General features: G+C 50.7%; 2 protein-coding genes and 1 pseudogene across 18 annotated transcripts in view, besides 5 other annotated features; 2 read left to right on the top strand and 1 right to left on the bottom strand.

Moving 5' to 3' along the window:
* The first annotated feature begins 5,245 nt into the window (after positions 1 to 5,245).
* Positions 5,246 to 16,904, top strand: PRRT4 (proline rich transmembrane protein 4). 16 transcript variants are annotated; one of them, XM_047420374.1, is made up of 7 exons: positions 5,246 to 5,416; positions 7,166 to 7,229; positions 7,738 to 7,889; positions 7,976 to 8,080; positions 8,429 to 8,548; positions 14,551 to 14,780; positions 15,815 to 16,904. In XM_047420374.1, exons 3-7 carry the CDS (start codon positions 7,781 to 7,783, stop codon positions 15,995 to 15,997), a joined length of 747 nt encoding a protein of 248 aa, XP_047276330.1. In that variant the 5' UTR covers positions 5,246 to 5,416; positions 7,166 to 7,229; positions 7,738 to 7,780; the 3' UTR covers positions 15,998 to 16,904. The 16 variants fall into 16 exon arrangements, with proteins under 16 accessions (XP_047276330.1, NP_001392421.1, NP_001392422.1 ...); NM_001405492.1 differs by adding an exon at positions 5,807 to 5,923 and having other exon boundaries at positions 7,166 to 7,889; NM_001405493.1 differs by adding an exon at positions 5,807 to 5,923 and having other exon boundaries at positions 6,373 to 7,889.
* Positions 5,604 to 6,472: an enhancer, noted in NCBI's record as "H3K4me1 hESC enhancer chr7:128000811-128001679 (GRCh37/hg19 assembly coordinates)". NCBI's record gives its function as "activates a minimal SCP1, AML or CMV promoter by ChIP-STARR-seq in primed H9 embryonic stem cells {active_cell/tissue: H9 hESC(primed)}" and the evidence as "EXISTENCE:reporter gene assay evidence [ECO:0000049][PMID:30033119]".
* Positions 6,473 to 7,341: an enhancer, noted in NCBI's record as "H3K4me1 hESC enhancer chr7:127999942-128000810 (GRCh37/hg19 assembly coordinates)". NCBI's record gives its function as "activates a minimal SCP1, AML or CMV promoter by ChIP-STARR-seq in primed H9 embryonic stem cells {active_cell/tissue: H9 hESC(primed)}" and the evidence as "EXISTENCE:reporter gene assay evidence [ECO:0000049][PMID:30033119]".
* Positions 7,342 to 8,211: an enhancer, noted in NCBI's record as "H3K4me1 hESC enhancer chr7:127999072-127999941 (GRCh37/hg19 assembly coordinates)". NCBI's record gives its function as "activates a minimal SCP1, AML or CMV promoter by ChIP-STARR-seq in naive H9 embryonic stem cells {active_cell/tissue: H9 hESC(naive)}" and the evidence as "EXISTENCE:reporter gene assay evidence [ECO:0000049][PMID:30033119]".
* Positions 19,405 to 19,484: an enhancer, noted in NCBI's record as "active region_26597". NCBI's record gives its function as "activates an Ori minimal core promoter by ATAC-STARR-seq in GM12878 lymphoblastoid cells {active_cell/tissue: GM12878}" and the evidence as "EXISTENCE:reporter gene assay evidence [ECO:0000049][PMID:35858748]".
* On the bottom strand, positions 23,090 to 23,147 carry RNU7-27P (RNA, U7 small nuclear 27 pseudogene; annotated as a pseudogene).
* Positions 23,181 to 23,380: an enhancer, noted in NCBI's record as "active region_26596". NCBI's record gives its function as "activates an Ori minimal core promoter by ATAC-STARR-seq in GM12878 lymphoblastoid cells {active_cell/tissue: GM12878}" and the evidence as "EXISTENCE:reporter gene assay evidence [ECO:0000049][PMID:35858748]".
* The window catches only part of RBM28 (RNA binding motif protein 28), a 46,224-nt gene continuing 43,414 nt past the window's right edge, over positions 23,321 to 26,130 (top strand). For both annotated transcript variants that reach the window (NM_001166135.2, NM_018077.3), the window contains exon 1: positions 23,321 to 23,553. In NM_001166135.2, coding sequence (NP_001159607.1) covers positions 23,436 to 23,553 — 118 coding nt within the window. In that variant the 5' untranslated portion in view covers positions 23,321 to 23,435. The remainder of the gene's footprint in view (positions 23,554 to 26,130) is intronic.

Here is a 26,130-nt window from a genome sequence, read left to right as displayed (position 1 = left end):
CTGTCTCAATAAAAGAAAGAAAGAGAGGAAGGAAGGAAGAGAGAAGGGAAAAGAAGAAAGAAAGAGAGAAAGGAAGAAAGAAAGAGAGAAAGAAAGAAAGAAAGAAGAAAGGAAGGAAAGAAGGAAGGAAGGAAAGAAGGAAGGAAGGAAAGAAGGAAGGAAGGAAAGAAGGAAGGAAAGAAGGGAGGGAGGGAGGGAAATGAACATCCATGTATCTGTCTCATAGATTAAGAAATAAAACATCACTGGTATCTTAGAAGCCCCTTGGGTTCCCCTCCTGAGTCAAAACCACTCCCTCCTTGTCTTCTTTACCCCAGGCAATGACTCTCTTGACTTTTAGGTTAATCCTTCCCTTCCTTTTGTCTATGGTCTTTACCATATATGTGTATATTCCTAAACAATATTGGGAAGCAAACATAATCCTAATATGAAAGGAAAGGACAATTTTATACTAGATGAAGACTCCCAGGATTATTTTAATCTACAGTCCTGGGAAGCACAGGACTCCTTGCAATGAGGGCATGTGGCCGGGCTGTAGCATCAGCCAGACCTTGGACATCTGGGTGGAATACGGTCAGGGGCAGCTGGCTGCTCTGTGCTTTCTGCCTGGGAGCTCACTTCCATCTCCTTCTTTCATGGGCAGGTCAAGTGCAAACTTCCTGATCAGGCAGCAGGGTGTGGCAAGAACATGAGCTCTATAGCACTTGGTCAAGTTAAGGCTAGTACAATTCAGTATCAGGGCCAGACTCACCAGACATTCTGATCTGAGTCAGGTTCCAAAAATGGTACACTGACAGCAGTGGTCTTGGTGGTGATAGCTGCCAGTGTGCCTGTCTCCTGAGTTAGTAACACTGTTCCAATCTGAACTGGGATCCCTTTGCATGTGGTGCACAGCTGCTATCTTGGGATCCCCCTCCAGTGTCTTCCCAGGGCCTCCCTTTGTTTCTACCCTGTGGCGGGTCTCTATTTCTTGCACCCTGTGCTTTCTACTTTCCTGTTTGACTCTCTGGTTTTGGTGGAGCACTTTCTCCGGTAGCTTTTTCAGGTACTGTGCATGGGAGGCAAACCTTTTGAAATTTCATACATCTGAGAATGTAAATACCTGTATTCTAACTTCTTACTTGATTAATAGTTTGAATGGGTATAAATTCTCAGTTGAAAGCATTTTCTTCAAAATTTTGAAGGTATTGCTTTTTACTTCCAGTGTTGCTGTTGAGAAATTCAAAACATTTATGATAATTGAGTCTTTGTATGTTATGTTTTTGTCTTTCTATCTGGAAATTTCTAGACTCTTCTCTTTAATTTGTCTTGGTGTGGGTTTATTTTAATCTACAGTGTTGGGGACTTGGTGGACCATTTTATGGTCTAGCAACTTGTGTCCTTCTGTTCTAGAAAATTTCTTCATATTCGATAATTGATTATTTTCTCTCTTCCATTTTCCTCTGGTTCTTTATTTTTTTCAGTTTGTTTTCTTTCATCATTTTTCATTTTTTTAATAGCCCTGGGAGGAACCCAGAGCCACAAATGCATTCGAAGTGTCAATGATCAACTTGATGCAGGACTCTTTCTTTCTTTCCTTTGTTTCTTTGTTTCTTTTTTTCCTTCCTTCCTTCCTTCCTTCCTTCCTTCCTTCCTTCCTTCCTTCCTTCCCTCTTTCTTTCTTTTTTTGGCAGGGTCTCCCTTTGTCCCCTAGGCTAGAGTGGAGTGGTGTGATCATGGGTCACTACAACCTTCACCTCCCAGACTCAATTAATCCTCACCTCAGTCTTCCAAGTAGCTGGGATTACAGGCATGTGCCACGAGGCCCGGCAAATTTTTAAAAATTTCTTAGAAAGACCAGGTCTCACTATGTTGCCCAGGCTGGTTTTGAACTCCCAGGCTCAAGTGATCCTCCCGCCTCGGTCCCCCAAAATTCTGGGATTACAGACATGAGCCACTGCACCTAGCCCTTTTTTTCTTTTTAGAACATTTATGTTGATGCTGAATTCCTGGAATTATCTTTTAATGCTCTTATCTTTTCTCTCCTATATTTTCTATCTTTTAGTATGTTTACTTTACTTCCTCGGGAGATTTAATCAACTTTATCTTCTAATCTTTCTATTGAGGGTTTTTATTTCTGCTGTCATGATCTTTTTTTTTTTTTTTTTTTTTTTTTTTTTTTGAGATGGTCTTGCTATGTTGTCCAGGCTGGTCTTGAACTCCTGGGCTTAAGACGTCTTGCTGTCTCAGCCTCCTGAGTAGCTGGGATTACAGGCATGGGGCCACTGTGCCTGGCTTATGCTGTCATTATTTTATTTTCCAAGACTGTTACTGTTCTCTGAACGTTCCTTTCTATAGCATCTTATCCTTGTTTCATAGATACAGTATCTTCTCACATCTCTGAGGATATTAACAATGATCTTATTGGTGCCCTCTTCTCTTTGTATAACTTGTTTCTCTAAGTTACTTTTTCTGATTGTTTTGTCTCTCACTTCTGTGTTAGAAAATGTCCTGCATGTCTGGTAATCTTTGGTCATGATTAAGGTTGAGGGATGGGGGTAGGAGGTTGGTGGGAAACTCCAAGCTCACATGTTGGGTTTGCTACAGTAGGGTGATCTAACTAGGTTGTTTTTGGAGAACCCCCATGTCAGAATCTTTAGATCTTTCCTCTTAGGCTGGTAAAATGCCCCAGTATAGAATCTTCTAGTCTCCAGCCTGGAAGCAAATGTCCTGCTCCTACGACTTTGGGAACCAGTTCTGGGAGAAGGCTCAGGGTTTCTGTATTCAGCATTCAATATGACTTGGTCACTTAATCCCCTCATTTTCAGCATTTTCAGTCTGGCTTATCTGTTCACAACTGTGCCGGAAGTTTCCCCAGTCCAGATACCTTCAATCTTACCTTCCTCAGAGGAAAATCCTCCAGACTCTTGCGATATGAGAAAGACTGTTGCCCAGTGGTTTGGAGTTAGGGAAGAGGTCTAGGGACCTAACTGTATTTCAGCTCAGTCCCTACTTTAGCAACCTTTCCCGTAGTTCTGGAGATACCTTGGAATGCCAGTTTCTGTGCCTTCTGAGAGCCTTGCAATGTAAATCAAGTTGGCTCTTGGTTTTCCCCACTGCCAGTTTGGGATGTTTTTTTCCTCGGGGCTGGTAAGTCAGTAACCCCATGACTGCCTGCCATCCTGTCTCAAAAATACTATTGCTATTGTCTCCTTTCCTGGTCTTTGCATCCTTGTAGGTTTATCTCTTGATTTGAAAATCTCTTTACTGGAGTTTTAGTGGGGTTTTGGGAGGTAATTGAATATACATTCAATTACCATCTTAACCCAGAACCCTTACTTCCTTTTTCAATATATTTTAAAAATTATTCCTGGGAATAAGCCCACTGGGTCATGGAGGATTGCTATCTTAATGTACTGGGATATGTTTATTTCTGTCTTTCCACTTAGAAGTCTTTAAGTGAACATGATTAGCAGGAAATGGGCTTTTCTATGAGGAGGATTCAAAGAAAATGTCTCCAGTAGGATAACTTTTATTAAGCATATGAGAGAAAATTAGAGGCTGAATCCCAGTTTGCAGCCTCCGGGCAGCCCCTAATGGACTTGGGGGTGGGGGCAGGTTATGATAACCCCTGGGGGTGCATCTGGAGATGTCCTTTGCAATGCTTTGTTAAGGGACCTGGAATAAATCCCAGACTTTATCGTTGATGGCCCTGAGAGTAGTTCAGTTGGTGGCCTGATTTGATTTTACATGAATTGGCGGGGCTCTGTGATAAGGAAGATGCCTTTCTGAAAAGCAACCCATTGCCCATATGGACCCCAGAACCATTCATCATTATTCACTTATCAAATAGGCATGGACCATATCCACAAAGTGCTAAGCTAGCTCTCAATTACTGAGACAGAATCTGCCCTAGGTAACTCTTTAAGCAACACCAGCACCCGCCCCCCGCCGCCCCACACCCTGCAACTGCCACAACCTTCAAGAGAAGAAGAGAAGGGATATAGATGGAAAGGGAATTCAGGGTCATATAAAAGGCTATAACATGGTGACAATAATTTTTCTGTCTCTGTGGCTCGTGGTGACGAATAAGTAAGGAGACTCTTATAAAGCATCCACCATCATTCTTGGCACACAGTTGGATGTTTAGATTTTGAGGGAAAGTTTTAAATGGTGCAGGGAGACAGAAGTGTTTCATGTTCTGATACTTTTAAATTACTATCATTGTTTGAAGAAAACATGAAGGGATTTAGAGACTCAAAACCACATGAATGAGTCAGTAGTACTTCAGTTAGTCACTACTACAACTTAACAGGTTCCATGAAGTATACATAGTGACTGCTCGGTTTTCTTGGTCATCTTCAACCTGTGTCAGCTTTTGCCTGAGCTCTCTTACTTTCTGTGAAGGGGCACGCTCTTTTTTCTTTGTTTTTCCTTTTGAGACAGGGTCTTGCTCTGTTGCCCAGGCTGGAGTGTAGCGGTATGATCACAGCTCACGGCAACCTCCACCTCCCAGGCTCAAGCAATCCTCCAGTCTCAGCCTCCCAAATAGCTGGGACTACAGGTGTCTGCCACCATACCCCATCACGCCCAGATAATTTCTTTCTTTCTTCTTTTTTTCTTGCTTGCTTGCTTGCTTGCTTGCTGTTTGTTTGTTTTTATTTTATCTTTTGCTATGTTGCCCAGGCTGTTCTTGAACCCCGGGGCTCAAGCGATCAGCCTGCCTCAGCCTCCCAAAGTGTTAGAATTACAGGCGTGAACCACTGAACCCAGCCTTTGATTTTACTGTTCTCCTCACACCTCTTACTAGAAACCAGTTGTAATCCACTTCTCACAAGCAGCTTAGCTCACCATTCTTTCTGGCAGACATTTCTGAAACAGTATTTTTGAGAGATCAGTTTTAGCGAAAAGACATGTCACACAGGGATTGGCATTTGGCAGTTCACCGGTGAAGTGTTGGAGGCACTGCTGTGTAGCAGTGCAACTGTTGAAAACCACCAGGTGGTGGAGAGGGCCGGCAGGGAGACGGTTCGAGTTTCTACCAAGCTGTGCAATCTTGGGCAAATTCGGTAATTTTCTGTGTCTTCATTTAATTGTCTGCAAAGTGGCGACATACACAGGGTTGCGGTGAGGACTCATGAGATAAAGGAAGTAGAATTGTCCATTGTACTTCTACTTAGCAAACGGTGGGACTCTTATTGCCCGGGGTGCCATCCTGGGGCAGGCTGCCATGTGTGCGCGTGTGTGCGCGCGCCCTCTGACCTGCGAGTGTGTTTCCTGGCGCGCGTGTGGATGTGTGTGCTGGGCCGCCCTGGGAGTGTGTGATTGCTCTCGCCAGGCTCACAGCGAGGCGCCCGCCGCGGCTGATTGACAGCGCTGGGTGAATGAGCGCGCGTGGAGGCGCCCGGCACCGAGGTGGCCGCGGCTCCGCGCTGCTGTGAGCGCCTGCCTGCCCGCCCGGGTGTGGGGGGACCGCGGGTGGCGGGCTGGGTGGGAGGAGGAGGAGGAGGAGGAGGAGAGAGGGCGCGGGAGCGAGGGCGGGCGGACGGGAGGGCCGTCAGAGCCGGCTGCCGCGGAGCCCCGGCGCGGGCGGCTTCGCCGGGGAGCGAGGCTCGGAGCCAGGAGGCGGCGCCGCTGGGAGGGAGCGCGGAGTGCGGAGTGCGGAGCGCGGGGCCTGGCCGCCCGCCTGGTGAGAGCGCTGCGGGCCGGGGCTGGGCCGGGGGCGGCTCAGGGGCAGCGGGGCGGCGAGGCTGCGGTCTCTGGACTAGGCGAGGGGCCGCCGGGGGCTGGAGGTCCGGATCTTCAGTCGGGGCGCTGGGCACAACAGAGAGAAGCGGTGAGATACCACGAAGCGTTGCCCAGCTGGGCGCCAGGGCCGCCACGACCGCCCCTTTTCGGAGGCTCGGCGAGGAGACCTGCCTGCGGGAGAGACCCCGGGGAGCAGGTCGGCCGGTCCGGGCTGGGGGTGTGTGTGCGTGTGCGCGCGCGTGTGTGCATGTGTGCCTGCGAGGGGTGGTGGGCGTGTACGAGTGTGGGGGGATGGCGGTGTGTGGCATGTCTGTGTGTGTGAATGTGTGTAGGGGGTGTGCATCTCTGTACAGTACATGCCGTGTGTGTGTGTGTGTGTGTGTGTGTGTGTGTGTGTGAGAGAGAGAGAGAGAGAGAGAGAGAGACAGGGGAGGCCGGGGGCTCACAGAGCTTGGGTTTGAACCCATGCAGGGAGGAGAGTGGCTCGGCAGGACGGAGTGTGTGTGTGTGTGTGCGCGCGCGCGTGCAGGGGCAGGGGGGTATGTGACGGGTGAGTGTGTCACGGGCGCTAGATGTGGCTATGTGTGTGATGTAAGGGTGCCGGGTGCATGTGTGTCCCTGGCTCACCCTCCCTTCCCCCACCAGATGTGTGCGCACAGAGGAGAGAGTTCTGGGGAGGGGGTAGGAGTCCGCCGCAGCTGCCTGCAGTTCGCCCAGCTTGCCTGCCTGGCGTTCTCCTCCAGGAAGCCGGAGATCGCCAAGCTGCCCCTCCCCCGAATACTTCAAGGGTCCTAGGGAAGGGAACAGGCCCAGCCCCAGGAAACGGGAGGGGCGGGAGGGAGGGTGCTTCTGCCAGATTGGGAACCTTGCTTCTCTGGCCAGAGCCTGGGCGGCCTTCTGACTGGGCCAGATCACTCAGCTCTGGCTTTACCCCTCCCGAGGCCCTGTGCCCCCTGGGGTCTGAGAGTGAGGGCGCCAGCACTTCTGGCTGGGGCGGGAGGTGGGGGTTGGAATAGGTCAAGACATCGGAAGGGCTTGCTTGTTCACAGTTATATGCCCAGAAGGGTGCTTGGCAAACGGTAAGCCTGCGTAAAGACTTGAGGCTCAGCAGAGGGAAGGAAGAGAGGAATCCATGTCTGGAAGCCCAAGTCCATCCCTTTTGCTACTAGTTAAGGATGAGGGCCCCTGGTTGCAGTCAGACCCCAGCTTCTGCATGAGCAGAGGGGGAAGGAGGAACCCCCAGGCAGGGATTTGTGCTGGGGCCTGAAGGTACAGGAAGGGCCCGGCAAGAAGAGCCAGAGCCATGGACAGGACACTTTGCATCCTGCCCACACTACCTGCTTCTCTGAGATCAGAAGCCTCTCTCTGGGACATCCGATCCTGGGAAAGGGAAGAGGGGGGCCACAGCCAGGGCTCACAGGGCCTCTCCTCTCTCCAGGACCTTCCTCCTCAAAAGCTGCTGAACAACTGAGTCCCTGCCCACCAAGGCCACCCGAAGCCAGGTGGGGCCATGGCCAGGCATGGCTGTCTAGGGCTGGGACTGTTCTGCTGCGTCCTGTTTGCTGCTACTGTGGGCCCCCAGCCCACCCCCTCCATCCCAGGTGCCCCTGCCACCACTTTGACCCCCGTACCTCAAAGTGAGGCCTCTATGCTGTCTCTCAACCTGGGACTTAACTTCAAATTCCATCTTCGGGGACCTGCTGCTGTCTGGGGGAGCCCAGTCACAGAGACCCAGCCACTCTCTCTTGGGCCAGGCCAGGAGCCAGGGGAAGAGGTGGCCAGTGGGCTGAGGACTGACCCCCTTTGGGAATTGCTGGTGGGCTCCTCAGGGAACTCTCTCACTGAGTGGGGCTCCACCGAAGGTGGCTCAAAGCCCCGGGCCTCCTCCCTGCTTCCGGAGTCCACATCCCGGCGCTCTGGGCCCAGCGATGGGCCCACTGCCCCCTATCAGCCCAGGAGGAGCACTGTGACCTGGGACACTGCTCTGATGGTGACAGCACTTCCATCCAGTGCTCCCAGGCCCCACCAGAGCGAGCTGGAGCTGAAGTTTGACATGGCACTGAGAGCAGGTGCAGCCCCCACGCTTGGGCATCGAACGCTGCCCCTGCTGCCCAGCCTGCGGGCCAGCCTGGCAGAGATTGCTGGGCGCCTGGGACCCTTTGGTGAGTAACCACCCCATCCCAAGGAAAGCCCCTGCTGGGCACCCCTGGCAGGTAGGAGGCAGCTTCAGCCTGGGCTTCTTTTGCAGGATTCTTTGGCACTACTCTGTCCCCACTCCGGAACTTCTCCGGCCTGAGCCCCCCAGGTGAAACTACATCCACAAGCTCTGCCTCTGGAGTTTCGGGTTCTCTGGGTGAGTTTATTTCATTGCAATAAACTATTGTGGAACACTCTACGTGCCAAGCGCTGTGCTAGGAGCCTAACAAGTACCTTTCTTTTTTTACTTTCTTGCATTGCTTCTTCCAGGCCCTAGGATATGGGCTACTACTTCCACGGAAGGAGTATTCTCTTTGCCATACTGAATCTGGTTTGCTCTTTGTAGCTTAGCTCATGGTGTACATGAGCTTAGCATGTGGCTACAATTCCTGGGACAGTGACTTCCTTAGGACAAACTCTGGGGAAGGACATAATTTTCTCCAAACTCCCAGAGGCAAGGCTGGTTGGTGGGGTGGCACTTGAGCCCCATGTGCTCCCTTTGCAGGGTTCCTTGGTACCACTCTGTCCCTGCCCCCATACTCCCTGGAGAGGAAGCTCTCCAGCCCAAGTCCTCTGGACCCAGCTGCTTCCCTAAGTTTTGCCTCGATTGCAACAACATCATTAGGTAAGTATCCAATTCATTTGAACTTGACAATTATTTATTGAGCACTTACTACATGCTAGTCACTCATCAGTGTTCTGGGACCCTTTTATTTCATTGTCATCATAATCATAATCATCATTCTCTTCATCATCACCGTGGAGATATATATGAATGGTCTGAGAGAAAGTATTGCTGGAGAAAGTCCCACACAGAGTTAAGTAATGGTCCCCTGAGTGTTTTGCAATGAGAGGCAGAGCAGGATGTAGACAGATGTATCAGGGACAAACAGACACAGGAACTTCTTCATGATTTCCACAGCCCTGGCACTAACCCCACCCTCCACTCCAGTCTGCCTGACCTGACTCCCCACCAACCTTGGGGCTCTTTCCTTTGCCATCTGATCTGACATGACATGCTGTCAGATATGGGAAGAGCTGGGTTTCTCATTGGGAAGACACTGAGGAGGAGACCTTGAGCAGGCAGATGCCACCTTCGTTCAAGAAAGCCTTTCAGAACATGCACACGGACAAGCTGGTGGTACGAGGAAAGACCACAGGCTCGGGAATCTTGAGACCTGGCTTTGAATCACAATTTATTTACTCACTAGCTAGTGACTTTAGGCACGTTATTTAACCTCTCTGAACCTAAATTTTCTCATAGACCCAGGGTTTAATAATAGTACTTGCTAGTTATTGCAAAGCTCTTAGCATGATGCTGGGCACAAAGTAGAGGCTCATTAAATAGTAGCTATTAACCTTGCTTCTGTCCCCCACTGCATCCCAAATCCACTTCCAGACCCTACCTCTCAGAAACCTCAGCCTTGGCCCCAGGCAGTGGTGGGACAACACAAACCACACAGCAGAGGGCACAGGAGCTGGAGGAGAGGTTCTGGTGGATGAGGCAGGGAGTCATGGAGAGGGACTGAGGGGCTTTCAGGCCCAGCTTTGCTCTGCAAAAGGTTTACTGTGGCTGTGAAACTTCTCAGTCACCCCTCACTAGGCTCAGCAGTGGAAACCACTGGTCTCCCCAGCTTCTTCCAGCTCCAGACTTAACCCATGACCTGGTTCTCTGGCTCACTCCAGCCACAGTCACTGCACTCCCTTGGATGGTGGGTGAGGGGCCTGCTATGCCTCTGTCCAGCCCAGCGTGCAGCAGGGGCAGGATGTGATTGGGGGTAGGGGGCAGTTTCTGTGCCTCAGGGGAAGGATGCTGGCTGGCAGTCTGTCGGCCTTGGTGACAGCGCTGGCCAGGCAGGTTTAATGAGTCTGGACAGTATCAGAGGCAGTGCAGCCGGGCAGGCTGGCGGCCCCACCTCATTCCCCCTCCTCCCTGGTAGCTGCAGGAACCCAGCCCCTGATACTGCACCTCTAAATAAACCCAGGAGAGCTATAGGCCTCCTGGAGAGAACGCCAATGGGCCTTGCTCTTGCCAGCAGAGAGAGAGAGAGAGAGAGAGAGAGAGAGAGTGTGTGTGTGTGTGTGTGTGTGTGTGTATTTGTATCAAGCAGTTACCATACAAAGGGAGTCTCTCTGTGTTGCCTCTAGAATCTTTCTAACCTAAGTGCAACTAACCTTTGACTCCTAGGCCCTCCTTGCCTTAGGTCCCCTTCACCTCAGACAGAGCCTGTATTCAGTCCATACATACCAGAACAGTTATCAAGTTAATCAGTGTGCAGCTTTCATACCAGTGAATCAGTGCCCACCTCGCTTAGTCCACAGAGGGTTCCCCTCCACTCCCTGACCACTCTGGCTGGTGTCAGTTCTGATTGGCTGGCACCTGTGCCAACTCAGTTGCTAGACATTTTGAGTGTCACCCCTACAAAGTGTAACCACCCTCCATGAACCTGGAGGTGGGGGTGGGGAGAGGGATGGGGCCAGGCCACTGAATGGGCTGTAGCTTCCAGCATCCAGAGTGGAGACATGATTCCTAGCCCTTTGATCTGGGCAGCTGGTGGATAATCAGGCCTGACTTTTCCATGAATCAAACTGTTCCCTCCCACAACCCCTCCCCAGCCAGCGCCTGCCTCACCAGTTATTCACATTGATATCTCCTCTCCTCCTGGCCACTGAGGTCAAGAGGGCCCACAGGGCCAGAAAGGGACCTCCCAGTAAAGGAGGCTTGCTCAGGAGAGAGATCCTGGGAAGGGAGGAACAGAGATGACTATCTTCTGGACTCTTCTGGGGAAAACTGAAGGCTCTTTCTGGAGAAGCCTCCAATGGGGAGATGGGTGATGAGGTCAAGAGGACCCTACAAAGGCAGAAGCCAGGTTTTTTTTCCACCTGTCCCCATTCACACCTGGACCAGTGTGGGGCATGCAGAGCATGGGATCAGTGTTTCTAATTCAGAACTCCTTTTATGACACTTGAGCCACCCCTGTACTTTGCCTATTATCTGGTTTTTATTCCTTTTCTGGATTTATTTTATTTTATTTTTTATTTATTTATTTTTTTGAGATAGAGTCTTGCTCTGTCACCCAGGCTGGAGTGCAGTGGTGTGATCTCAGCTCACTGCATCCTCCGGGTTCAAGCGATTCTCCTGCCTCAGCCTCCTGAGTATCTGGGACTACAGGTGTCTGCCACCATGCCCAGCTAATTTTTGTATTTTTAGTAAGAGTCGGGTTTCACCATGTTGGCCAGGCTGGTCTGGAACTCCTGACCTTGTGATCTGCCCACCTCGGCCTCCCAAAGTGCTGGGATTACAGGCGTGAGCCACCAGCCCAGCCTGGATTCTTATGAATGTTGAAATTTGCTGTAGTTGCCATGGAGCTTAGGTATAGAGATGAGAGATAAGGTTTCCTGTGGCCCATGGGTGAGAAGTAAAGATGGAAGAGGGTGAATTGGAGCTAACCTCTGACAGCTGCACTTACCTGTACAGTGAATAAAGAGGGTGTGGTAAGGGGGTGACAGGCTGGGGCAGACCGTGGGCTCCTAGGTCATGTCTTCCTGCCCCTCTGCAGAGGCCACAGAGGCCAAAGAGAGATGGAGCAAACCCAATCACTTTGCAGAGGAAGTGGGTTGGGCAAGGGCATCTGAAGGGACCAAAGAATGAGGGGTGAGGTGGTGTGTGCATTTGATCCTGCCATTGCCAGACCTATGCCACCTGATCAGCAAGCTCTCCATTCCCAGCTAAGTAGTTTCTCGTTTAATTGATGGCTGGTGTCTTTATTAGTGTTAAGGGGTGGGTAGGCCATCAGAAAAGTATTATTTGGCCGGGCGCGGTGGCTCACGCCTGTAATCCCAGCAGTTTGGGAGGCCGAGGCAGGTGGATCACAAGGTCAGGAGTTCGAGACCAGCCTGGCCAATATGGTGAAATTCCATCTCTACTAAAAATATAAAAATTAGTCGGGCATGGTGGCACGCACCTGTAATCCCAGCTACTTGGGAGGCTGAGGCAGGAGAATCACTTGAACCTGGGAGGTGGAGGTTGCAGTGAGCTGAGATCATGCCACTGTACTCCAGCCTGGGCAATGAAGTGAGACTCTGTCTCAAAAGCAAACAAACAAACAAACAAAAAACCCAAAGTTATTAGTTAAACAGAGTTCATAAAGTGAGACAATGTGTTGATGTTCACTCTTTGACTAATCGTTGTCTTTCTACGCAAGTTTAGGACTGTGAAAGGCTTTGAAAACAGACCGCAGCCTTTAGTTAATTGAATCAAGAAACTGTTTGAGACCAGAGGTAGTCACACTGACACATACACAAACAGATGATGGATCAGTGATGAACATTAGCTGATGATCATGATAACGACACAATCTTGACTGAAGGATCATTATGCACCAGGTTTTCCAGAGTTTTACACACGTTGTCTCATTTTTCTCACAACAGTCCTATGCAGTAGGTACTCTTACTCATTTCAGATTTGAGGATGTGATGGAATGGGAACCAGGGCGCATGCTGCCACTTGCAGTTGGCAGTGAGCTGTGTATATTTAATGTTTTGGCTGCTTCCTTTCTGCCCTCCCCAGTTGTCCAATTCCATCTTCCCTTTCCTTCTCTCAGAGCCACCTGCCAGCCCCCTCACTCCTTCCTTTTCCTTGTTCTCAGAACTCTTATGTTTTTTGTTTATCTTTTACGCATTTATTATTTTTAAGAACTGTTGTGTGTGTGTGTGTGTGTGTGTGTGTGTGTGTTTTTTTTGAGCCAGAGTCTCGCTCTGTCACCCAGGCTGGAGTGCAGAGGCGCGATCTCTGCTTACTGCAACCTCCGCCTCCCCGGTTCAAGCGATTCTCCTGCCTCAGCCTCCAGAGTAGCTGGGATTACAGGCATGTGCCACCACGCCTGGCTAATTTTTGTATTTTTAGTAGAGATGGGGTTTTGCTGTGTTGGCCAGGCTGGTCTCAAACTCCTGACCTCAGGTGATCTGCTCGCCACGGCCTCCCAAAGTGCTGGGATTACAGCCATGAGCCACCGCGCCAGGCCTAGAACTGTTATGTTTTGAGTGTCCCCTGCATGAGCTGACCCTGCCTGTGGCTGGGGGTGCTCCTGGGGTCTTCCTGTGTTGTCCAGCTAGGGCATGGCCAGGGCAGGGCCAGGCAGTTGGGTGATTATCAGGCACCCTCCTCTCACATTCCATATCTGTCTTTGGTCCACCTATCCATCCCTGCCAGGCTGTCCACATCCTTCGCCACCCTTTCTTCTTCTACCCTTGCCTGTGGCTGCGGTCCTGCTGAATCTGTAGGTGAGGGCAGATAGAGGTTCAGCTTCCAGCATCTTCCCTTGCTGCCTGGCCCTGGGGAGAATCCTTGAGTCTAACTCTACCCAACTCTTCTCTTGCTCCAGAAGAGTAGAATTAAGGATCTTACTCCTCACCCTCTCTTAGGTGACTTCCCTTTTTCCAAGGGATATGGGAAGGTATTGGAGCACAGGATGGGGCTAGGGACCCAAGATAGCAAACCCCAGAGCAACTGAGGGGCTCACTTACTTAGATGGCATTTTATCCCACTATGATGTCCCCAAGAGTTTCTCCCTGGGAGTTCCTAAGGGCACCTTTTGAGACCTGGGGGAGTCCATCTCAATGTCACCTTCCGTACAGTGTGGGGAGAAGCATGGAGCCATCTATATTAAGACAGTTAGACCAATGGCTTTGTGGATGAGGCAGGATAGGGGTCACTGCCATGGATAGGCTAAGGGTTGGGGTGTAGCAGGCAGGAAGGCCAATGAATAAGGAGAAATGATGTTTTCCTCAGAGTGCTGAGACAGCATTGTCTTACCTCTCCCCTGATGTACGTGTGTGTGTGTGTGTGCGTGTATGTGTGTATGCACATGTGTGGGCTTTTCCTTGAGATGGAGATAAGGTGGGGGAGTAGTTGAAAAAGGGCAGGGAAGCTCCTCCTAGCACTAAGTTGGGGGTTGGGAGTCAGGGGTGCAGAACAAGAGATAAGCACACTAATGTTAGAACGAGGCTTTGGAATCACAGAAAGGGGCTCAGACTGATGTTCAGACCTGGGTTCTAGGTGCAGCTCTGCCCATTTGTGACCTTGGGCAGGTCACTTTGCCTCTCAGAAGAGCTTCAGTATCTGCATCCGGCAGTACAGGGATTCATTTAGTCAATGAATATCTGCTAAATTCCAACTGTGTGACAGAAACTAATTTAAGTATGGAGATTCAGATGTGAGCAAAGAAACAAAAATCCCCGTTCTCATAAAGCTTCCTTTCTGGTGGGGGGATTGAACTGGAGGGGGTGTCTAAGGCTCCTTCCAGTTGTAAAGTTCTGTGACTTCAAAGAAAAACTCTTTAATAGAATCACAAACAAGCCAAGCAGGGAGCTGGGGGGCCGAGGCAGAGCGCGAGAAGTAGGAGAAGGAAGAGGGGAAGGATGACAGCTCAAACTCCAGCGAAGACATTGAATAGGGGCGCGGGGGAGGGAAAGGTGAGAGGCCAAGAGGTGGGGTGAGTCTCATATGTAAGACAAGTGTGTCCTGGATACGGTAGGGGACTCTGACTGGCATTCAGGCTACTGCTTGTGGGGTGGGTAAGGGGAGGGCTGCATCATTGCCTCAAGCCAAACGTTCTTTGCCCACAGACCCCACAGTCCCCATCTCTGGCCCAGATGACCTCTCTCCTCCCGCCAGCCTCGGGAACCCTTCGGGGCAGCCAGAGTGTGGGCCAGGGTCCTGCAGCGTGGGAGAATTGCCTGAACGCGAGGGGCAGCCTCCCGAGGCGCCGAGGCCCCTCTTTTTCCTGACCCTGGAGGCCGACTGGGCAGAGGCCAGGGCTCGCTGGGGGCTGGCCTGGGAGGCCCACGTGTACGGGGTAGGCGCGCTCTTCGGCCTGGTTGCCTTGCTGGCGCTGCTGGCTCTGGCCCTCTTGCCCTGGCGGTGCCCGCCCGGCGCCCCCTGCCTGGCGCTGCTGGACCTGCTGCTGCTGTCGGCCGGGACCACGCGGGCCTTCCCGCTCTTCTACGACGCCTATGGGCACAGGGATCGACTGCCCGCGCTCGCCTGGCTGCTGCTGCAGGACCTTCCGCTGCCCTGCTTGGCTGCCGGCCTGGGGCTGGCCTGCCTGCTGCTGGCCCGGCCGCGCCCGCCGCGGTGCCCCACCGGCCTGGCTGCGCTGCTGCTCCTGGGGCTGGGGCTGGCGGCCGCCGCCGCCCTCGGGAGCGCCGCGCATCGCCCGCTGCGGCCCCTGCGGCTCGCCTCGCGCGGGCTGCACGCCTTTCTCGCCGCTTTCCTTTCCGGGCTGCTGCTGGCGCTCTCCTGCTGGGGCGGGCGGCGGCGGCGGGCCGGGGCGCCCCTGGGAGGGTCGGGCTTCAAGGGCGCCACACCCCTGCCGCAGGGGCGCAGCCCCTTCGCCCCTCGGGAGTCCTGGCGGCGCGCGGCGCGCACGGCCCCGGTGGCGGGCACCTTCGGGCTGCTGAGCGGAGCCCTGCAGGGCTATGAGGTGCTGCACGCCCTGGGCTACGGCGGCCAATCCGGCCTGGAAGGGCCCTGGCCCTGGTGGGCCTTCCAGCTAGGCCTGCGCCTGGGCGAGGTGGGCGTCGCGCTCCCGTTGGCGCTGCTGGGCCTCTACCCGGCGCTCTGCAGTCCTCGCGTGCCGCCGCGCTGCTGGGCCAAGCTCTTCCGCTTGTCCCCGGGCCACGCGGCTCCGCTGCTGCCGGGAGGCTGGGTCACTGGGCCCCCAGACAAGGAGCCCCTGGGGAGCGCCATCGCTCGCGGGGACGCGGAGCTGCTGCAGCTGTGCGCGCTGGCAGGGCCAGGCCCAGACCTCCTACTCCAGGGCGGAGGTTGCCGGGGCTTCGAAGGCGCGGCGGCCAACCCGGCCCCGTCCCCGGCTTCCTCTCCCTGCAGCGATTACACCGTGGACTTCCGCCCGCCCTCCCCAATCAACCTGCGACGCAGCATCGAGGAGGCCCTCTGCAGCGAGGCCCTGCTTGCGCCTGGCCTCTTCCAGGGCCCTGCCTTCGAGGACGCTCTGCCTGGGCTCGGACTCTACCGCACCGCCTCGCTGGGGACCGGGGGCAGGGCCAGTGAGAGATCAGGGGAGGCCTCTGGCCCCGCTGCGCCCCCGGAGCTCCCCTCCCCTGGGGCTTGGCCCGCAGGCAGCAGCGTCTCATCTGGCTCGTTCTGCGGACTCTCGCGGGACAGCTCGTCCATGCTGCTGTGTTCCAGCCCCGACAGGCCCCCGCGCTGCCCTCTGGTCTGCGTCCTCAGTCCCCCGCGGCCCTCAGGAAGCAGCCCCAGCCTCCCGGCCTCAGGATCCTACCAGGCCCTGTCCCCACCCTCTCGCGACTCCCCAGAGCCTGCTTCTGAGCTGCAGGCCGAGGAGGCCTTGCTGCAGGAGCAGTTCCTGGACGCCTGCCGACAGATCGACGAGCTGAGCGTGGGCAGCGACACCATAGACCTGTGAAGAGGTGGCCACCTTGCTACCCTGCGATATGCCCCTTTCTGGCGCCTGCCCTGCCCGAGACCTGCACACTGTAATCCTTCCCCAATCCTCCCTGGCTCAGATACCTCTCCAGATTCCTTCCCCATCCAGGGGTCCCTGGGTGGGTGGGTCAGCAGCCAGGCTCTATCGATTGGGAATCAGTGCCACCTTCTCTGGAGCCCTGGGTGCTGATGCCCTCAGCTGCAAATCTAGGTTGGCAGGGGTCCCATTTTCCTTGGCATTCACCAGCAATAAAGCTCCAAGGTGCTCCACTCCTGACCACCACTCCCCACTCTGGTGCTGAGTGAGAGGGGCTGTCCTCAGAGGACCCTGGGACCTGCCTCAGGCCCCCCTACCCACCTCTGCCATGCCTAGGAATCCCACCCCTGTGTGAATGGGACTCCCTTTCCTCCATGTGACACCCACAGGGGTCCATGACCCATCTAGGAGACTTTATAGCAGTTGGGTGGGAGGGGAATGCTCTTAATTTATCAATAAAATATTTTCAGAGGAGCAAGGTCTGACTTTTTTGGGAAAACTCAATTGAGCAACAGCACCAGTGATTCCATCACTAGTGGAAGAGAAGCAGCTCTTGGGTGGGGTGGGTCCATTCCAGACCCCAGGGACCTTCATACAAGACCAACGAGTCTTGTCCTGTTTCTGGGATGAGTGGGGTTACTGGGAGCAGCCCCTTGAAGACTCTTCTGAATCGTTGGGAAGTGGCTTTTCACAGAGATGGGACATCGCCCTGGGAGGTGAGGCAGAAACTCTACTGTCATTGGTGGAAATGCCTGCATTCTTAGGAGTTGGCTTCAGGTCCTGGTAGACAATTGGCTGGGGACTAGTTAGGAGTCAAGTCCTTCATGGAAATATTGAGACGCATGTAAAAGGTCCTGGTCACCTTGAGCTGGGATCCTCAGCAGCCTCCCTGCCATGTTCCCACAGTTTGGGATCCACAAAGAGGAAACTACCTTTCTACCTTTTCACCCACCAACAGGGGCTCTTCAACCCCCTCCCCCTTCTCCTGAAGAACTCTCATCTCTAATAGGTGCAGATCCTCCCTGGAGAAAGCCTGTCCAGCCCAGCCAGCTCCTGTAGCAAAGTTCACAGTGAGAGACCCACAAACACATCCAACCACCAGGCACTCTGTAATCCCTCCCTTGCCTGGAGCATTTGGCTCTGCGCTCTGTGGTGTGTGTTTGTCATTTGGCTAAAATGCGGTGGTTCCGAGTAGCACAAAAACAGGGTTGTGGATTAGGTTTGAAAACAAAAATCTGACAGTGTTTTGGCAGCTGTCCTGCATATCACAGGGAGACCTGCAGGAGCATACACACTAGGCTCAAAGTGGAAGCACAGGAACCTCGTGATTTTTTTCTTCCAACTTTGCCCATCAGCTCCTGGGGACTGGAAGGGAGGCTTGGGAGCCAAGAGGGAAGCAGGCAGGGAAGCCAGGAGAGGGTAGAGCCCTTGGCCAGACCAGGTCCAATGCAGGAGTGGAAGAATTCAAGCACTACTCTCCTTGCAGATGAACATCTGTCTTGGCTGAGAGGAGCGTCCAGGGCCTGGGACCTCAGATGGAGGAGGAGAATCAGTTGTGTTTGGAGGAGAGAGAGAATCATAGTGGGGAAGAGAAATGGGAGGGAGGTGGTGCCGGTGCGGTGGAGGGATGGGACTAGAATGGTTTTGATTGCGTCTCCTCCATCACCTGGCTCAGAAATTCTTGCTGCATCCTCACTCTGGGCTGAGGCCCAGAGAACTGCCAACCTCCTAATTACAGGCATTTCTCACTGGTGTCATAGTGGCTGCAGTGGGCCCAGCATCAGAGTTGCTTTGTGTCATGCAAGGATTGTTGCTGCTCTGAGAAACTGCTCCCTTTCTTTCCCACTCACTCTTCTATCTGCCTCTCATCTGCCTCTGCTCACACTCAGCTCCTCGATGCCATCTCTTCCTCACACTGGTCCTTGCCAGCTCCTGTCTCTCTCACTCACTCTCCCCAACAAGGGTCCTTGGGTTCATGCACACACTTCCCGAAAGAGCAGTCCAAGCCCTGAATACCCTAGCCAGTCTCTCTGTTGGCCTGTCTATTGGTCTCTCTCTCTCTCTCTCTCTCACACACACACACACACACACACACACACTTCTGCACATACACTCCTTTTCTGTATGGCAGCTCTAAATGGAGTTGGGGGGAGGCAGGAGGGAGTTGAGGGAATACAGCTCGGTGTTCACCAGCTCCAACACTTCTTTGATTTTCCTCAGCAAGGATAACCTCAGCCCTTTTACTTCATAAAGAGGCCAAGATTTTGTTTAGAGGATCCTTTCCTTTTGTCTCATGCCTCATCCCTTACCCAGAGTGGGTTTCCCAGGAAGAATCCAGGTAGATCCTAATGCCTACACCCTTCAGTTCCAAGTCTTGGTATTGTGGGGACTGAAAGACAAACTCACATTCATTCATTTATTCATTCATTCAATCTCTTAAAGAATATTTACTGAATGCCTATGACGTACTAGGTGCTGGGAATAGACAGGTGAACGAGGTAGACACCAGCCATGAATTTACGAAATTGAAAGCCTGTTGGGGGAAGGCAGATGTTAAACAACTAATGACATAAATAATCACAATAGCACAAGTAATTAATTATAGTTGTGACAAGTGTTAAGGCCAAGAACTATTCTGTATTATAAGAAGGTTTAGCTTGCCAGGGGGAGTGGAGCTAGAGGGATGGGATCTGGAAGAGGCTGGCTGAGAACAGCCCAGGCCTCTCTTACTTCCTTTCCTGGCTCCTGCACAGTGATGGATGAGGAGGAGGCCAGCAGTTTATTTCCCCTGGAAGCCACATTGCTGGTGTGATGCAGGGTAGCACAGCACCTGCTATTTAATAAAGATTGCTGCATGTGTCTTGGGTAGATGGATGAGCAAATATTCCTGAGGAAAGAACCATTGCCTGCCCTGATATAAATGGATTGGAGGGGATTGGGCTGAGAGACAGATCGGGGAACCAGGTCTGAACCGTGGGGAGGGTAGAAAGGGTCAGCTGCACTGTTGTCCTCCCAGAAGGGCACAGAACCCTGCACTGTGGGTGGCTGCTGCCCCCTGATGGGCATAGAGACACAGTTAGATTTGTCCTAAATTAAGGAAGATTTGGATCAGAGCTATTTAAAACTTAGCATTTGTGGAGGGTCTCACAAAGGAATATTGGAACAATCTTCTCAGGATTGTTTTCCTTGTACAGACTGCAGCCAGGACTAGGAAGGCTTCCCCTTAGCTGGGGTTCTGAAGCTCACAATTTAATCTTTGGGGGTGGAATTTTAATTCCTAAGGTGATAGGAGTGGGCAGGAGGGAAGGAGAAGGAAGAGGAGGATGTGGAGTCCCAAACCAACTTTGTTACATGATCCATCCCATTGCCTTTATCTGTTTGTTTCTCTTTATCCTGGATAGGATTAACATAGCAACCTTAAAAATCTGTTTTGTATTTCAAAGCTTCCTTTCCTGAGTAATATTTTTAAATTTATTTTTAAATTTTTATTGTTATTGTTTTGAGATGGGGTCTCACTCTGTCACCCAGAGTGCAGTGCAGTGGCACGATAGCTCACTGCAACCTCCGCCTCCCCAGGTCAAGCGATCCTCCCACCTCAGCCTCAGAGTAGCTGAGACCACAGGTGCATGCCACCACAGCCCAGCTAATATTTTGTACTTTCGGTAGAGATGGAGTTTCATCATGTTTCTGAGGCTGGTCTCAAACTCCCAACCTCAGGTGATCCGCCCGCCTTGGCCTCCCAAAGTGCTGGGATTACAGGCATGAGCCACCACACCGGGCCTACAAGGCATTTTTTTTTTTTTCTGTCTGACTTTCTGGAGGGCCAAAGAATGATAACATCTGCTTATTGTGAGAGGGTTCTGAGAAAGTTAGCCAAACCTTTAGCAGAAAAATACCTAGGGGAAACCTTCAACAGAGAGGGCCCTTCTCCATCACAGTGCTCTTGCTCACTCCTCTCTCAAACAAGGGCAATTTTTCAAGAGTGTTAATGGGAAACCATTAGGCATCCACCTTAAGGTCCTATTTTGGCTCCTTCTGACTTAGTTTTGTTTCCTAATCTTAAAAAATCTTTAAGGGGCTCACATTTTTCTTCAATTATATATATATATATATATATATATATATATATATATATATATATATATAGAGAGAGAGAGAGAGAGAGAGAGAGAGAGAGAGAGAGAGAGAGAGAGAGAGAGACTGCATTGACATGCTTAAATTCCAAAGACCTTAAGTTCTTTAGAGATGGACTAAGTGGCTGGTATCATTGCTTACAAATGTGTTTTGAACTTGATGGAGCTAATGTTGAAAAATAAAGTTTAGGCTGGGTATGGTGGCTCATGCCTGTTATCCCAGCACTTTGGGAGGCCGATGACGGCTGATCACTTGAGGTCAGGAGTTCAAGACCAGCCTGGCCAAGTTGGTGAAACTCTGTCTTTACTGAAAATACAAAAATTAGCCAGGCATGGTGGTGGGTGCCTGTAATCTCATCTACTCAGGAGGCTGAGGCAGGAGAATTGCTTGAACCTAGGAGGTGTAGGTTGCAGTGAACCGAGATCGCACCACTGCATTCCAGCCTGGGTGACAGAGCGAGACTCTGCTCAGAAAAAAAGAAAAATAAACTTGTATTTTATTTTCAGAAGTCTCGAACTCCTGAGTTCCAGTGATCTACCCATCTTGATCTCCCAAAGTGAGTTATATATTTTTTTGAGATGGAGTCTTCCTTTGTTGCCCAGGCTGGAGTGCAGTGGTGCAATCTCGGCTCACTGCAACCTCTGCCTCCTGAGTTCAAGCGATTCTCCTGCCTCAGCCTCCCGAGTAGCTGGGATTACAGGCATGTGCCACCATGCCCGGCTACTTTTTGTATTTTTAGTAGAGACGGGGTTTCACCATGTTGGCCAGGCTGGTCTCGAACCCTTGATCTGGTGATCCACCCACCTCGGCCTCCCAAAGTGCTGGGATCACGGCCGCTCCTGGCCGTGAGTTGTATTTTTAAAAAATAATCGTGAAGTTTTATTTTAAGCATAGATTACTTACTTCGAACTAGAGCTCCATAAATGTGATGTTTAGCGTCCCCCTAATCTCCACTCCCATCACTATCAACCAGTCGTCTAGCCATCCAAAATGTATTGAAAGTGAATGGGGCTTGAGGAGATCATGAAACTTAATTTTCACCATAGTGCCTTATAAAAGGTACTAAAACTGTAAAGTTTTTGAGTTTTCTATCTGCCATGTTACTATCATTTAAAAGTAATGATTTGGCTGGGCTCAGTGGCTCACGCCTATAATCCCAACACTTTGGGAGGCCGTAGTGGGAGGATTGGTTTATCCCAGGAGTTCAAGACTAGCCTGGGCAACACAGGGAGAACTGTCTGTACAAAAAAATAAATAAATTGGCCAGGCATGGTGGTACACACTTGTGGTCCTAGCTTCTCAGGAGGCTGAGGTGGCAGTATTGCTTGAGCCCAGGAGATCAAGGCTGCAGTGAGCCATGATGGTGCCACTGCACCCCAAGTTGGGTGACAGAGCAAGAGTCTGCTAAAAAAAAAATTATTTAAAAAATGGCCTTGGGTACTTTTTTTTGAGCTAGTTGTTCTGCAAGGTGTAGCTCTCTTGCACCTATTCAGGTCCTGAGCCCAGTGGCATGGCAAACACTCTCTGTGTTCCAGAACCAGGAGCACCCAGATTTCCTAGCCAATTAAGAGCTCTCAGCTTTGGGTCTGTCTGATGAGCTGACTTGAGACAAAGATCTTCTGTTTCTAGGAGGACATGGGTTCTAGGTCTCTGTGTATAAGTTGGATGTTATGTTTGCTTTGAGTGTGTTTGATGTGGTCCTGCAGTGTGTGTGCTGTGATTTATTTGTAAGAATTTTTGGACTAATAGTCTTCCCAGCCAGGTGTGGTGGTTCACACCTATAATCCTAGCACTTTAGGAGGCTAAGGGGGGCTAATTGAGCTCAGGAGTTTGAGACCAGCCTGGGCAACATGGTGAAACCCTGTCTCTGCAAAAAATACAAAAATTAGCCGGGTGTGGTGGTGCACCTGTAGTTCCAGCTACTCAGGAGGCTGAGGCAGGAGGACTGCTTGAACCTGGGAGGTCGAGGCTGCAGTAAGCCGAGATCGTGCCAGTGCACTCCGGCCTGGTTGATAAAGTGAGGCCCTGTCAAAAAAAAAAATCTGTTTCCACCATTAGACTGTAATCTCTATGAGGGCAGGGACCCTGTCATTTCTTTGCTCACCAGTTTTATCCCTAATGCTTGGCTCATAGTTAGAGCTCAGTATATATTTATTGAAATAATAATTGTGTACTATCTGTGTCTATGTGTATTTTAGTAGCTACAATTTGTTTGTGAGGCTGAGGTGACAGACAGCTGGTGTTCTCCGAAAATGAGAATCGTCCGAATGATGTATATGATATATCTATGTCTACGTGTTAGTGTTCCGGTTGTGTTTTATGCACGTAATCTGGGAATTTGTGGAGGCACTTCAGAAAATATCAAACACCCACAGTATATCAGATCCTGAGTTACGCCCGGGGCAAAAACGACTTCTTCTGCCTGTCCTGCTAACTTTGGGGAGGATCTGGAGGTGAGATTTTTAAACAGGGTAGAAATTATTTATTTTTATTTTGTATATTAAGAAAAAAAATTACTTTTTGGAGGCCTTCCGGCAAAAACCAGAAAGCCTGCTAGGCAAATTCTAAAAAAGCTGTAACACTAGGGTAGAAATTATTGATGCCAAGTTTACACAAAAGTGGCGAGGGCGATGCTAGGGCAGGGGGCGGAGCCCCGCTCCAGAAGCTACGCCCCGGGGCGCCATTATTTTTTCATTCCGGAACCTTTTATCCCCCTCCCGACCATGTTTTCCTCCGGTCTCTTTTGGGCAACGAGCACTTCCGGAATCTCTCGGCGTGTGAGCTTGGTTGTCCTACCAAAGCCAGCGTTTCGGCTCGCGTGCGCCGGCCTAGTTTGCTCGCGTCCTCACGCGCTTTGGGTTTCCCGGTCTCATGGCCGGCCTGACCTTATTTGTGGGCCGCCTCCCGCCCTCGGCCCGCAGTGAGCAGCTGGAGGAACTGTTCAGTCAGGTGGGGCCGGTGAAGCAGTGCTTCGTGGTGACTGAAAAAGGTAGGGGCGGGGCGGTCGAGGATAGGGCTGGGGTTTCCTGCGATCGAGGGCACCTTCCCAAACTTCAGGGAGCCGTATCATTCTTTACCCTCCCCGAAGAGAAGGGACAGGGAACTGAGTTTCTTTTCCAAACTGATTCTGCTTTAGATGCGTTCATAGGAGTCAGTTTATGAAGGGCAAAGCATTCCCTTACGTTTCTATAGCGCTTTCTGTTGATTATGCGCGCTAAAAATGAAAATAGTTAACTAGAGCATCAGTAAGACTTATTGAGAGTCACCTGATTGGCAGGTACAGTGATCAGTTTGATACAGGTTATCTCATTTAATTTTCTCAGCAATCTTACCGGATGGAGAGTCTTAATGTCATTTTACAGACAGGAATCCGGGATTTAGGGGAATTTAGTAACTTTAAGTTTGTACGGCTGTTAAGTAGTGGACCCCCGATTTGATCCTCAGACCTGGACATCTTAGCCAGGATGCTATCCACTTGTTCATTCATTTATTCAGCAAATACTTAATACCTACTGTGTGCCAGGAAGTGTTGTAGGTCCTGGGGATGCAGCAGTGCACAACACCAAACCAAAAAAATCTTTGATTTTATGTCTTCAAGGTGGGGAAGAGAGCCAATAAACGAGCCAATAAACAAGCCAACCGTGAAAATGATGTCAAATGCTAAGGAGAAAAATAAGCCAGGGAAAGGGGTTAGGAAGTCTATGTGCATGTGTATAGTGGGGAGAGGGGGTGAAGAGTGGCAATATAGATAGGGTGGCCAGAGAAGGACGGACTGAGGTGAGAGAGTGAACACATGCCTCTCCGGAGGAAGAACAATTCAGGAAGAGAAAACAGCAAGCTCAAAGGTACTGAAACAGAGGTGTTTTTGGTATATTGGAGGAGTAGTAAGGAGGACAGGGTGACTGGATTGAAGTGAGTAAAGGGAAGAGAATTAGGAGATGAGATCTAGAGTAGCAGATCATGTAAGATTTTTTTTTTTTTTTAAAGACTGCGTCTTGCTCTGTCGCCCAGGCGGGAGTGCAGTGCCACGATCTCCGCTCACTGCAACCTCTGCCTCCTGGTTCAACCCATTCTCCTGCCTCAGCCTCCCAAGTAGCTGGGATTACAGGCGAGTGTCACTACACCTGGCTAATTTTTGTATTTTTAGTAGAGACGGGGTTTCGCTATGTTGGCCAGGGTTGTCTGGAACTCGAGACCTCAGGTGATCCGCCCGCCTCATGTAGGATGTTATAGACCATTGCAAGGACTTTGGCTTTTACTCAGAGATAGGAAGCCACTGATTTTAAGCAGAGAGCAGTAAGTGTGATCTGGCATTCGTTTTGAAAGATTCTCTCTCTGGCTGGTGTGTTGCCAATAGACTGTTGGAGAATAGGACAAAAGCTTATGTACTTAAAATAGGGACCGAAAGTCCTGTACAGTAATGTTTATTAAACTGCAGATTATTACCTATTAGTGGGTCTTGAGTGGGTCATGACTAGAGTTTGTTTTGTTGTGTTTTAGAAACAGGGTCTTGCTCTGTCAACCCTGTTGACAGTTGGAGTGCAGTGGTGCGATCACAGCTCAATGTAACCTTAAACTCCTGGGCTCAAGCAATCCTCCTACTTCAGCCTCCCAAGTAGCTATGACTACAGACGTGCTTCACCATGCCTGGCCAATTTTTGAATATTTTTTGTAGAGACAGGGTCTCACTACGTTGTCCAGGCTGGTTTCAAATGATCCTCCTGCCTTGGCCTCCCAAAGCACTGGGATTACAGGCATGTGCCACCACGCCTGGCCTAGAGTTCTTAAAAAATTAAATAGTATAGGAGTACGTCCATATATGGTAAAGGATAAGTATTTGTAAAACTTTTAAGTTTTAAATAAAGAATATATGTATGTACTGGGTTCCAGTGTAAGTAGCATTCCGTACCCAGGTGGTTGTATTCCAGGGAAGAATAGGCCATTGAATGGGAGTTCTCCTTTGAGTCCTCAGAATATAGGCTACATGCAATCTTACCTTACACCTTGTGTACTTGGTCTAAATCCTTAAAAATCTCTTACTTCCTTTTAAAAAACTATGCACTTTCCTATCCAGACAGCTGATATGTACTGGAAAGAGTGCTGCACTCAGTGAAACGGGAGGGAGGGTATGTGGAATGAAGTCTTCCTCAATAGCAGTGCATGTCACTTCACCTCTTTAAGATGGGAATAATTTCACAGGGTTGTCAGGGACTCTAAATGTATGTGAGCATGCTTTATGCAGACATGTAAAATGTGTGGTATTTACTGTATGTCCTTTCATTTGGGTGTCAAACTCTTTTACATTTCAGCTGCTTTACTTTTGGTTGTACTGATCATGAAGGGCTATGAATTTTCTTGTGCTCATTTTCTGAAAGGTGAGTGGGCAGCTTTTATGATAAGGAGTTCAAGAGAAGAGAAAAATTGATGTTATGTTGCTTTAACCAGTTTATGTAGATCAGTGTCCTGTGTCAAAGGGCTTATACCCTGAAGGAGATTCAAATGCAGTGGAAAGAGAAGCAGAGCATATGAACTATGTGTCCTTTTCAGGTAAAGGCAGACTTCTTGA

Source organism: Homo sapiens, chromosome 7, assembly GCF_000001405.40.
Source record: "Homo sapiens chromosome 7, GRCh38.p14 Primary Assembly".
In the NCBI taxonomy this organism is placed as follows: Eukaryota; Metazoa; Chordata; class Mammalia; order Primates; family Hominidae; genus Homo; species Homo sapiens.
The sequence above is the reverse complement of the archived record's forward strand: the minus strand, read 5'-3'. Positions and strand labels throughout refer to the sequence as shown.